At 35.3% G+C, this 14,229-nt stretch overlaps 1 protein-coding gene across 14 annotated transcripts in view, besides 1 other annotated feature; it reads right to left on the bottom strand.

Moving 5' to 3' along the window:
- LINGO2 (leucine rich repeat and Ig domain containing 2) overlaps positions 1-14,229 on the bottom strand; it is a 1,275,985-nt gene that overhangs the window by 740,481 nt on the left and 521,275 nt on the right. The window contains exon 1 of one of the 14 annotated variants that reach the window (XM_047422817.1): positions 10,084-10,438. The exons of the other annotated variants lie outside the window; for them this stretch is intronic. The gene's annotated coding sequence lies outside the window, so the exon portion shown is untranslated. Of the gene's footprint in view, positions 1-10,083; positions 10,439-14,229 lie in introns of those variants that run through there. 14 annotated transcript variants of the gene reach the window in all.
- Positions 9,992-10,667: an enhancer, noted in NCBI's record as "OCT4-NANOG hESC enhancer chr9:28688087-28688762 (GRCh37/hg19 assembly coordinates)". NCBI's record gives its function as "activates a minimal SCP1, AML or CMV promoter by ChIP-STARR-seq in naive H9 embryonic stem cells {active_cell/tissue: H9 hESC(naive)}" and the evidence as "EXISTENCE:reporter gene assay evidence [ECO:0000049][PMID:30033119]".

Below are 14,229 nucleotides of genomic sequence, written 5' to 3' on the forward strand. Positions count from 1 at the left end.
GGATCATGTCTTTCCACAAATGACTTCCTGTTGTGCTTTGAATATTAAAAAAAAAAAAAAAACTTTATTTTTTTAATGTTTAATCTAAAAGGCCTGGCCTGATCTGTCACAGTCAAACTTTCCAGCCCCACCTTCTGGCCTGCTCTCCCACTCTCACCAGGCTCCATCTGTGCTGAAAGTTTCATTCTATTTCAAAGCCCTTACATGGGCTGTTGGCACTGTTAGAGCAATCCTCTTTCCATTCCTTGCTTAGTCATTTCCTTCTTTCTTCAGGTATCAGCTTAAATGCCCCTTCCAAATGAATACTTCTTTCTAAATGGCAGTGCTTTTTGATATTCTGTTTGGCTTCCTGAAGTTTTCATCCCTGTCAATTTTTCATAATAGAGTGGTTTCGAGCGCAAGATTTATATCCAGACTTACTGAGTTTAAATCTTGAGTGCATCGCTTGCTAGACTGCATGATGTTAGGAAAGCTGTAATCCTTGTTATGCTCTAGTTTCCTTATCTAGAAAATCAGATACAATATCATTTACCTAAAGGGATGGTTGTGAGGACTGAGTTTATACAACTAAGCACTCAGAACAGGGCTTTGCACATCAAATACTCAATAAATGGAACTGTCATTACTAAGTGAAATTATATTTATTTGAGTAATCTTTTGATTATATTTTGCTTTCCTGATAAACATGCAAACTTAAGATGAGCTGGAGCTCTGGCTATATTGTTACCCAACCACAAACTTGGTGCCTCAACAGTACTTTACTTAGAAAAACTCATTACATATTTATTTAATTAATCAGGTAAATAAATGTGTGAATCTATAAATACATAGAATAAATAATTTTAAAATAAAATATTACAGATCAGCGATTTTGGGGATGGTGGATCTTTGATATGCACAAAATCATACAATATGTGGCAGTCGGCTTTGGAAGGTTCCCTGGATCTAGGGAAAATTTTGATATTGTGTTCACTCAGCTGTTTCTCAACTCAAAGATATTTGAGAAATGACTGTAAAACACCTAGAGAAATTCTTGGCGGGTCATCTCATCTTCTTTCATTACTGGCAAATTTGGTTGTTAGTGAGTACAAAAACTTTGATGACTTTCAGAAAAAAAATTCTAATATAATATTTCTAAGTTTTAAAGAAATCTTTTCACCATTATCAAAGCTACAATACAGTTCCTTGGGGCCAGACTTTAATCCAAGAAAATCTCAAAACTCAGCTTCCCACATGATTTATCTTCTAATCTTCTAACTTTGGTTCTGATTTCTTAGCATTGCTGTTTTGTAGATGTCATCTTATGATGCATAATCAATAAGGATGTCTTGCTGATGCTTTTCAGAAAACTATTGCTATCCCAATCCTCAAAACGGAAAGTATAAGATTCCAGATACCTAGAGTTCCTAGCCCTTAAAAACTAGAAATAGCACTTTTTTGAGGTAGGACTGGCATACGAAAAGCTGTACATATTTAATGTATACAACTTCATGAGTTTGAAGATAACTTTACACTTGTGAAACAACCATCACCTCACATATACAAATAATAGTAATAAAGAGGGTTTATAATTTTTAATAATTATATTTAAATGTAGATATGGAGATAAAAACATGAAAAGAAAGTGTTATACTAAAGCCTAATGAGTTGCTTTGTCCTGCTTTTTCAAGAATATTAATTTGGTCCTTTTTAAACATTTTTATTTATGTATTCATTTATATTAATTGATAAAAATTACATATAGTTATCAAGTACATGTTTCAAAATATGTATACACTGTGGAATGGCTAATGTATAATAGTATAATTACTATATACATTTCATTTCTTCACATACTTACCGTTTTTTTTTGTGGTGAAAGCATTTAAAATCTATTCTCTTAGCAATTTCCAGATATAATTATTGGATTATATCTGGAATTATATTCTAGGTGACTGTGTTATTGACTATGGTCATCACATTGTACATTCAAACTCTGCAACTAATTTCTCCTACCTAACTGAAATCTAGTGTACCTTGACCAATATCTCCTCAACCCTGCCCTGCACCCACCACACCTGCTCTCTACTTCTGAGTTCCATTTTTTTAGATTTCACATATAAGTGAGATCATGATATACTGGTATTTCTGTGCCTGGCTTATTTCACTTAACACGATGTCCCTCAGGCTCATCAATGCTGTTGCATATGACAGAATTTCCTTCTTTTAAGAGACTGGGTAGTATTCTGTTGTGTATATTTATATTTTCTTTATTCATTCATCTGATGAGAAACAATTAAGTTGATTCCATATCTTGGCCATTGTGAATAATACTGCAATAAACATGAGATGCAGGCATCTCTTCAACATACTGATTTTATTTCCTTGGGATATATACCCAGTAGTAGGATAGCTGCATCATATGGTAATTCTATTTTTAATTTTTTCATAAACCATCATACTGTATTCCATAATGGCTGTGCTAATTTATATTTCCAACAACAGTATACAGGGATTACGTTTCTCCACAACCTCTTCAACACTTGTTATCTGTCATCTTTTTTTATCAGGTGTTATCTTTTTATTTTAACAGGTGTGAGGTGTTAGCTCATTGTGGCTTTAACTTGCTTTTATTTGATAATTAGTGATTGCGAGCATTTTTTCTATAACTGTTCACTATTTATATGCCTTATTTTGAGAAATGTCTGTTCAGATCCTTTGCCCATTTTTAAATCAGGTTATTTGTTGTCCTGCTATTGAGTTTTGTGAATTCTTTATGCATTTTTGACATTAAACCCTTGTCAGATATGTGGCTTGTAAATATTACTCTGTTCATTGTTTCCTTGGCTGTGCGGAAGGTTTTCAGTTTTATATAACACCATTAGTTTATTTTCCCTCTTGTTACTTATACTTTAGGGATTATATCTTAAAAATCATTGCCCAGATTAGTGTCATGGAACTTTTCCATGTCTTCTTCAAGTAGTTTTGAAGTTTCACGTCTTATATGAAAGTCTTTAATGCAATTTAAGTTGATTTTTGTATATAGTGTTGGATAAGGGTCTAAATTCACTCTTGCATGCAGTTAGTTCCCTGGAAACTAACTGCATGCAACTTAGTTCCAGTTGGTACCCTGGACTAACTTAGTTCCAGTTAGTAGCCTGGAAAAATTCATGTATCACACACCCTGCTATGCCAGATGCACTAGAAAGTCTTTTCCTGAAAAAGTTAATTGGCGGTTGGTAACCAGAAGGTTCTAAAGGGCAGCTCTTTTTAACTTCTTCCTCTGAGAAGGGGCAATGATAGCAAAAATCCAACCCCATACTGTGGTGTCCTCATAGAAGCCATTACAACTGGCAGTGCAAAGTTTCTTATCAAGCTGCTCCTACTGTGGCTTTAGATCTTTTATAGAATGCAAACAGACAAGCAGGGATGTGGAAAATGAAACAAACAAACACACAAAAAAGAAGTAGTAAGGAAAAAGGGATATGGGAATGGGTGAAATGTCTCCAAGAAGAAAAGGGACAGCTGGCTCCTGGAACTGATGACCCACACTTAGAGGGTTAAAGCTACACTGGCTAAATCAATTCCTGGACTAGTCTCATATCTCTGCAGATGTACCATATTATATTCAGAGTATTTTCCCAAACTGTGTTCCTTTACCTATAATCCTAAAATAGTTCAGCCTAAGTACTATTACTGAGTACTAAGTACTTGTTTGGAGAATTTTGAAAGAAAAATCTACAGCAGAGAATAGGAAGTAGAATACAGACTAGAGAGAAATAGGCTCTCTTAAGTGAAAGCTTATGATTCAATCAACCAACTATAAAATAATTTTAGTCTAAATGGACCCATAAAATATTCTCAAATCATATTTGAACACATCAAGAAGCAGAGATTCAGAGAGGTAGAGTGACTTACTGACAGCAAGCTGAAATGGCAGCAGAACTTTGGCTTCCAGATCCTACATAGTAAGTGTTTTCTGATTTGTTTCACCCTTAGAGTTGCCAATGCTTGGGCATAGCGGTGAGATTTCTATTCAGTGCTTTCCTGGAATTGCTGATTCTTGATCCTATATGCTGCCCTTTATAAAAAATGGATCTGTAAACTTATATCAGTCTCTTTCAATGACACTGTTCAGTCACTTGAACACTGGAGCATTACTGAAGCCCTGAAAAGGATTTGGCAGATGGAAAAAAGCTCATGGAACCTAACTATTAACACAGTGGTCTTTCCTGAACCTGTTCCGCATTCACTGGACTGTGCCTGACTTGCATATCTGTGGCCTTGTCAAATATTTGCCTTAAATTTCACTTCTTGCAAAATAATCTGTTAATGAAGGGGTCATAACCAAAGTCTTGATTCATTTTTGTACAGGTTATCTTTTAGACCTTCTACATGGTTTTTATTAACACAGGATATTGCTTAGGAATCTTGAGGAGGTTTTAATTTACTTTCCTAAGACTTTTTTATATCATTTTTCATTTTGCCAGGTACTTTTATAAGACAATTTCACGATTATAGATGTAATTCTGTAGTCACAAGTCTATATATTGTTTTTGCAGCAATATGATTTGAAATTGATGTAAAATTATGGCAATTTTGGTCATTCTAAATGTATTGTCATATATTTAAAATAATTTGCAAGGGGTTAGTGAACTACATTAATTATGGATATTGATATGCTTTTAGATTATTTTGAATATATTTAATAAAAGGAATTTATGCAGAGTTAAATAATAGGAAGAATTTCATATTAAAACATAATTATAGAAAGTTGGTTCTCTCTATGGCAGATACTTTTTTTATTATTTTTAAAACACAGGAATTGAAAAGAAATTCAAATTTTAACCAAAGCCACAATGAGATGTCTTTGAATGAAGGATAAGAAAACCCATATTCTCTGATGGTAAGTATTCCCACTTTCCCTGTCCTTAAGTAATGATTTTAAGTATTCCCACTTTCCCTGTCCTGAGATAATAATAGAAAGAACCTCACAGCTAAACATACTATAGCCTATTTTTGGTATTTTTTGCTTGTATTTATATGTTTTCTTAATGTACCCAAATCTTTGCCCAGTACTTGTGCTTCATTTTAAATCAATGTGCCCATACCCTATTGTATTGCTATTATTGATTCTAAACATTGAAACAAATTTCACAAGTCATATAACCTTTCTCTTGGTTCCAGACAATCACCACTAAGCAAGATAGATGAGCCGAACACATTTTTTAGTTAAGTTTTGTACCATCATTTTCCTGTGAACTCCATACCAATATCTACATGGGTACATCTTTGACAAAACCTGTCTGGTTTTGCACTGTGTTTCTTTCATGGGATGATCATAGTATTTTTCACAATTTGGCACAAATATCACTCTTAAATCAAGCCTTCTAAGTTTTCCTACCCCAAGCAATAGGACTGTTTATGCCACCGAGCAATTAGATACATGCCTCTATTATTACATTTATCTTATTTCATAGCAATTATTTTGTATACAATATTTACCTGTTAATCAAAACCATAGCTTAATATGGTTCTCTCCTAGATGCCCATCTTAGAGCCAGGATTAAATATTTGTTTTCAGAATGAAATGTTTGCTTATATTTTATTTATACAACCATGATAAAAAATCTAACATGAAATGCAATCAAGCTTTATCATGAAAGTTTGTCATTCACTCATTCAGCAGCTGCTATGTGGCAAGCATGTCTAGCTCTTCCTTAGTTTTGTAGAGACAGCATAGGAGAAACTGTGTGCCTAGCACATAGTAGATGCTCATTAGATATTAATGTATTTCCTTTTCTCTCTTTCCCGCATTGTAGCCATGTCTCACATGGAGTCAAATAACAGACTTGTTATTAAGTACTCTTACTCTTTAAGTATATGAGGATTTATTAAGCTTTTGGTTTCCTGCTTTTATAAATCAAAACTTTTTTTGTGAAATTCAAAAATTCAAAAATTTCAAAAGCAATATTTTTTGCAAAAAATGTAAAAGTTTACATTTTTAAACACATTTTGTACCCAGTAATTTTATTTCCATTGTATGCATCAATAAATTAAAAATATTTTCAGTTTAGACCAGGTTTTAAAATGTTTATCTTTTTTTTTTTTTTTTTTTTTTTTTTTTTTGAGATGGAGTCTTTCTCTGTCGCCCAGGCTGGAGTGCAGTGGTGAAATCTCGGCTCACTGCAAGCTCCGCCTCCCAGGTTCACGCCATTCTCCTGCCTCAGCCTCCAGAGTAGCTGGGACTACAGGCGCCCGCCACCACGCCCGGCTAATTTTTTGTGTTTTTTAGTAGAGATGGGGGTTTCACCGTGTTAGCCAGGATGGTCACGATCTCCTGACCTCGTGATCTGCCTGCCTCGGCCTCCCAAAGTGCTGGGATTACAGGCGTGAGCCACCGCGCCCAGCCTTTTTTTTTTTTTTCTTTTTTTAGATGGAGTCTACTCTGTCACTGTCACCCAGGCTGCTGATCTGAGCTCACTGCAACCTCTGCCTCCCAGGTTCAAGTGATTCTCTGCAACCTCCACCTCCCAGGTTCAAGTGATTCTCCTGCCTCAGCCTCCCAAGTAGCTGGGACCACAAGCACACACCACCATACCAGGCTAAATTTTGTATTTTTAGTAGAGACAGGGTTTCACCATCTTGGCCAGGCTGGTCTTTAACTTCTGACCTCAAGTGATCTGTCCACCTCAGCCTCCCAAAGTGCTGGGATTAAAGGCATGAGACACTGCACCTGGACATTTTTTTCTTTTTTAACCCTTTATTTTAGGTTCAGAGGTACATGTGCACGTTTGTTATACAGGTAAATTGCATGTTGCGTGGGTTTGATGTACAGATTATTTCGTCACCCAGGGAATATGCATAACACGTGATAGGTGATTTTTTGATCCTCTTCCTCCTCTCAACCTCCACCCTCAAGTAGGCCCCAGTGTCTGTCGTTCCCCTCTTTGTGTCCATGTATTCTTGTTTAGCTTCCACTTATAACTGAGAACATGTGGTATCTGGTTTCCTGTTCCTGTATTAGTTTGCTTAGGATAATGGCTTCTAGCCCTGTCCATGTTGCTGCAAAGAAAATGTTCTCATTCTTTTTTATGATTGCATAGTATTCCATGCTGTATTTGTACCACATTTTGTTTATCCAATCTGCCATTGATGAGCATTTAGGTTTATTACATGTCTTTGCTATTGTGAATAGAGGAGCACCATCTTTCTACCATCTCTTTTTTTCCTACTCTGACCTCTTCCACCTGAAGAATTAGAGATTTATAGTCAAAGCACAGTGCTTAGTAAACAGTAGTTGACAGCTGTATTTATTAGTTTACACTGTAACAAAAAATAGATGTACTTTGCAAGGTGATCTTTAGTTGTCATTAAATTTCTGCTTTTATAATAATAACATTTCGTACAATTACTCATAGAAAAAGATGTGTTTCTGATTTTCCATTTGAGGCTTTTATTTGAATCTATTATACTCAGATATCTTTGGAATCATATGATGTCATGTCTCTCTCATAATTGATCTTCACATGGGCCAGTCATTATTTTTGTTTTAGTCATTTTGGAGTGGAGAATAACTCCTTTATCTTTGAAGTTCTCCCTAAAACTCCTTACAGTAAAATTGTCATTTTCTACTTGTCATATATTCAAAGTCAGAGATCCTAAAAATAATCTACAGATATGGAAAAAATTCATCCACATATTTATTTGTATATCTTGTGTGTGTGCAGGTATGTGAGTCTAGACATACGTATTTCCTCACCATCCCTCAAATTCTATTATGACTACTCACTTGCACCATTATTGGTGAGGTTTGTACTAAAAGTCATAACTACAGTCCAGACTATATGAAGACGAGTAGTGTGTGGGTGCATGATTTCTTTTATATATAACATATATGATGTGTGTGTGTGTGTGTGTGTGTGTGTGTGGACAAGTGAGAGAGAGAATCAATAACCAAACATTCTAGCAGTATACATTGGATAGTTTTAAAACAGCTTTATTTTCTTTCTTTCTGCCCAGATATGGGGCAGAAATTGGGGAAATTAACCTGGCCATAAGGTCTTGTAATTGGATATCACACATAAATATCCTCAAGCCTTACATCTTCTTTATATAACTGATGAAGACATTCTACGTACAATGTAAGTCTTTGTGCTAAGTGTAATATAATGCAAATGCTTGACCAGATGATTTTGTAAGGGCAATATTCATATTTCAAAATTAAACAACTGATATTTCATATGCCCAAAGGCTCTGGTACTGTACATATTATTGATTAAAGTGACATTTTAAAGTTACTATAGTGCAAAAGAGTTTGTTAAAATAGAAAACTAATTTTTATGGCTTTTACTAGCTCAAAATTAGCCAGAACACTAACAGAGTAAATGTTTGACTGAAGCACCAGGTGGAAAATTTGTATCAATATTCAAAGGCCCTCAAGTAAGATTTCATTTCATAGAGTACAATCTTGGAACTGTTTTCAAACTACGTAGATATATAAATGGCAAGCAGAACACCTGCATTAATCCTGGACTATGCTTTTATTTATTTTATTTAGTTTTTGGTAATGAATAGTCAATTTCTACACCTAGTCCTATATTTTACCACTTTCTAGAGACAGTAACAAGCCTCTAAATGCAGGTTTACATCCATCGGACACCTTTGTCTGACAAATTGAGCTTATTGGAATATCCATTTCAGCTCTTGTTTCCTTGGCTTAAATTACACCAGAATAGATTGTAATAATTTCTGGTGATAGGAGTATTTAAACGCCCATGGCCCACTGAAGATCCAATTTTGAAACGGTGGAATTTATGTTGAATATAAGAAAAAGACGCCTTTAAAAGATCTTTCATTTCAAATTCTGTGTCACACCTGTAGTAGGTATTTAACTTAAAGGGGATGAGTGGTTATACTACTTTTACGGTACTTTTCAAGACAGTTACATCATTGACCATATTCAGACAGAGGAGATGGTAAAAATGCACCTGGACAAATAAAATTTGATTAAAATAAACATTATAACCCAGAAACAAACTATGTGTGGAAGTCAGTAAATTACACAGAATAGAAAACACTAATTTATTCATACCCAGACAACACGTCATCTCCTATTTATGTATGAGCACAGCATTTACATAGGTAAGAAATATGAATGATATTGCAGTAGAGAGGGAGGCATTCTTGATATTCTTGAATATAGTTATCCCATTTATAGCTTCACTTTAAGCTAATGATTTAAGCCTAAGTGTAGGATTTCATTTTCAGTATAGCTGAGATTGACTTCATGTTAATTTTCAGTGTTATATTTAAGTTTCAACTAAACAGTCATGCCAAGTGAAATTCCTTGGTCATTCTTAAAATGTCAAAGGCAGAAATTATGAGAAACAGAGGCTTACCATAAATACTATGCCAGAAGCTGTCCTATAATATGTCTTCTGAAGAAAGAGAGAGAGAGACTATTGGTCATAAGAGTCAGCAGTCCTCACTACTCATTTGAGTCAACATATGTAGGTCATTTGTCCTCTTTCTCTCTCAGATCTGTCTTACACCACAGTGTGCTTGCTCCATCATATTAATCTCTGCAAGCTCTATGCACATGGATACTTAAAAAAATCAATGCATGCTCAAGCTCAATAACAGTATGAAAAAGTCCTGACAATTATGGTGATTTTTTTTTGTTTATTTTTATTCAGCTGTTTTAATGGAAATGTACAACAATTCAATATTTTGATGCCAATTTTATTTTCTTTCTTATTTCCTGAAACACGGCTATACAGTAACATAGTTTCATTATAATAGGATATAACGATTATACCCAAATCACAATTGAAAAGCTTCCAGGTTATGAGCAAAGACTCTGTGAATGGGAAAGAGGAGAAATGTGTCAGCTGCATAAAACAGAGAAAAAAAGTAAACAGTTTGAAACCTTCCAAAAAGTTTAGTTAACTTTGAAAAAGCTCTAAAAATTTCACACCAAAATCTCATCCCTTCAAACACTTGTATGCGCACTCCCCTATTTACACATATGATACAAATGGAAACTTCACATACAGAGTTGCTGCAGGCTACAGTAAACACTGTAAGGCAGAAATACATTACCTCTGGCAGGGTATATCACAATGACCCCATTAAACTCCTTTAAGGATTCTCTTTATGATCTCAGTTCATTAGTCCCTTAAATAGCATTTGTCATGACAAAAGAGAACACTTAGAAGGAAAGCCTTAAAGCCTTCTCAAAGGCTCACTGAGCCAAGAACAAGCTCAGAAGTTATCAAAACAAAGCTTCACAAGTTTGGAATAAATTAGCTTGCTTGGGCACAAACTGTGTCTGTGTTTTTTCAGTGACTAAACATAATCTACTTGCCTCAGGCTTTTTCTAAACCTAAAACCTCATGCTGGCAATGTTATCTGTAACCACACTCCTTTAAATGGAGGAATGTCACTACTTCAGGTGACATGGTTCCTCCTAAGGGAAATTGCCCGAGGAAGAATGCAGGTGTATCTGCCATTCAAAAGCCTAAAAGCTGTGTTCCTCATTTAAAAATAAACTCGTTTAAACAACAAGAACTAATTATTACATTAATTTATTGTCAACACAACTAAGCGCAGGCAGGCAGATATAATAACCTATGTGTAAACTACTAAGCAAGCTGAATAAAAAGGAATCTCTACTGTGAGTCACTTTCATGGTACTAACACAGGTACTCACTAAAGCCATATTTCAGATTCCATTTTGTAGTTTCATTATTACTATACAGATATCTGTGCACATAACGTCCTATAATATGTCATCTGTCTGTCTTTTTCCCCTTAGCTAATTTTGATTTATTAACGTGTTGAGGGGATGTACTGCATGGCAGCCCCCCGATCCTCATCTGCTGCTGTTCATGATCTTGCAAAATCCGTTTCCCTTGATCCTGAGTGAGTATGTGATTTATATCTAACTGATAGAATATGGTAAAGACGACAGGATGTCATCACTTCCATGATTCTGTAAGACTGTCTTGTAATACAGTTGCTCTAGTCTGCTCTAGTCCTTTTCATACAGATGAAGTAAGTGGCCCTATTAGGGAAGTTCACATGTCAAAGAACTCCAGGTAAAGTGTTTAGGAAATGTGGGCAGCTGTTAGGAGCTGAGGAGAATCAACAGAAACTTATGACCACCCCTAGCTACAGCCAACAAGAAATCAGGACCTTCTGTCCCACAACTGCAAAATAATGAATCTGACAAATAGCCGACTAATCTTGGAAGTGGATCTTCCCCATTTTAGCCTCCAGGTAAAAAACAAACAACCACATTAACAAGTGGGCAAAGGACATGAACAGACAGTTCTCAAAAGAAGATATACATGCTGCTAACAAACATGAAAAAAAAAACTCAACATCATTAATCATTAGAGAAATGCAAATCAAAACCACAATGAGATACCATCTCACACCAGTCAGAATGGCTATTATCAAAAAGTTAAAAAACAACAGATGCTGGTAAGGTTGTGGAGAAAAAGGAACACTTTTACACTGTTAGTGGGGTGTAAATTAGTTTAACTCTTGTGGAAGACAGTGTGGCAATTCTTCAAAGACCTAGAGGTAGAAATGTCATCTGACCCAGCAATCCCATTACTGGGTATATACCCAAGGTAATATAAATCATTCTATTATAAAGATACATGCATGTGTATGTTCACTACATACACTGCATACACTGCATATTCACAACAGCAAAGACATAAAGTCAACCTAAATGACCATCAATGATAGACTGGATAAAAAAATGTGGTACATATATACCATGAAATACTATGCAGCCATGAAAATGAATGAGATCACATCCTTTGTAGGAATCCATAGATGGAATTGGAAGCCATTATCCTCAGCAAACCAATGCAGAAACAGAAAACCAAACACCGCATGTTCTCACTTATAAGTGGGAGCTGAATGATGAGAACACATGGACACATGAGAGGGAACAACACACAATACAACCTGTCGGAGGGTGCGGGGTGGGAGGACGGAGAGCATTAGGAAGAATAGCTAATGGATGCTGGGCTTAATACCTAGGTGATGAGATGATCTGCACAGCAAACCACCATGGCACACATTACCTATGTAACAAACTTGTACATCTGCACATGTACCCCTGAAGTTAAAATAAAAGTTGGAAATGAAACAAAAACAAACAAACAAAAAAAGACATAGCCCAGCCCACACTCTGATTACAGCCTTGGGTGACCTATGAGCAAAAGACACAGCTAAGATGTACCCAGATTCCTGACCCATAAAAATTGTGAGATAAAAATGCATATTGTTTCCAGCTGCTAAACTTGTGGCAATTTCTTCTGTAGTAAAAGAAAACTAATACAATGTATATAAGATAAGATAGTATCATTTATGACTATCAGTTACCTACTTCCATTTCTCTGGGTAAGGCCATCTTCATTTCTTAGTAGGAAAATTTGTTGTAGTCATTTTCTAGAAAACTCTACTTTCCATTCATGAATAGTTTCTAGAATAGTTTTCAAAGTTGTTTCTAGGGGAGACTCTTATCAAAACAATAAAACACATGATTTGTCTTTGGAATTTCTATCTTTTACTTATTCTCCTCTTTCTATAGTCTTCTATTCCCACTTAATCAGATGAATTCCCCAGTCCTTTAATCTATTGTTTCTTCCCCTCTCCTCCTGACAATGAATCTTTCAGATCCCTCACAATCCTTCTCATTCTAACAATTCACTCTTAAGATTAATAGACCAAAATAGCTTAATTCCATTTGCATATGTACAGAGACTTACACAAACACACTGCCATCCCATGGTTATTAAGTGGACCATTATTATAAATAAAAGTTGAAGAGAAATTTCAGTATATAGAACAGGTAAAGCAAGGTTGATGGTAGATGGTGTTGTAGATGGAGATGGAGAATGTGGGTAGGGGTTGATAGAAAACCCAGTACAATTCCAGCTCAACATCTGCTACACTCTTTAACACATGCAATGTCAGCCCAGCAGCATCAATGGGCAACCATAAGGTTTTGGTTAAGACAGTTTGAAAATCACTGCTTTAAACCAAAAGAATTATTCTCTGATGGGGATATATCTCAATAGTTCTCAAAAGAGATTGGTTTACAGTCTTAATGGAATCATGCCATTTTGCCAAAGTTTAAACTGTATGATGTCAATTTATCCTCAAATTCTTAACATCCTCAAATCACATATAAACCTACTGTACCAATTTCACAAACTTTATTTTCCTGCTCGCTCACCCTTGGGTAAAGTTGACTGGTTGAAACAAAACTATTCACAGAATGTAGACTTTTTCATTTTTCCCACAACACAGTGAATGCACTTGGGGGCATCACTGACCCTTACTGTATTGGATCAAAAATTGACTTTTTTCCTCCTTGTAGCCTCTTATCTTCCATGTGCAAGCAAAACCTTATATCATAATCACTGGTAGAATGTTTTGTTCAACTTCTCTATTGCATCCTTAAGAAACTGAGAAAAAAAAATTGCCTCTTAAAAAAAGCAGTACATCTACATATTAAAAAATTTAAAAGAATATCCATCATAGTAGTGATCTTGAGAATCTTGGATAACTTGTATTTAACATTTATATAAGGTATGTGCATATTATTTTATTAAAATAATTCATATCTCCATGTAGACTTTTAGCAAAAAGATTTTAAAAGCTTGTGTACTAATAGGAATGCATCTGGCTACTAGCAACAATAGCTACAATTGAATTAATTCCTACTATATGCCAAAGCATAGCTAAAAACTACATAAATATAGCAATTTCTGAAGAAAACATATAATGAAGTTATTAACTCCATATAACAATTAGTAAACAAGCTAGGATGGGTGAGGAATCCTCAAAGCAGAGACAGCTAGTAAGCTCTGGAGATGAAATCTAATCTCATCCCTCATTATCTCCAATGCTTGTGTTCTGAATCACTCTGTCACTGGTTTGATTCTAGGATGGAATGAGGTTGCAAAGAAAATAAAATGGATAATTATTTATGGTAATTGGTATTTGCACTATGATATTCTCATATCAATTCCTAGGTACTCTCTTGCCTTTAAGATAATCCCAAACTTTACAAAGTGGCAATTTCGGCCGGGCATGGTGGCTCACACCTGTAATCCTAGCACTTTAGGAGGTTGAGGTCGGCGGATCACCTGAGGTCACGAGCTTGAGACCAGCTTGGCCAGCATGGTGAAACCCCGTCTCTACTAAAAATACAAATAT

This window comes from Homo sapiens, chromosome 9 (genome assembly GCF_000001405.40).
Source record: "Homo sapiens chromosome 9, GRCh38.p14 Primary Assembly".
Classification (NCBI taxonomy): Eukaryota; Metazoa; Chordata; class Mammalia; order Primates; family Hominidae; genus Homo; species Homo sapiens.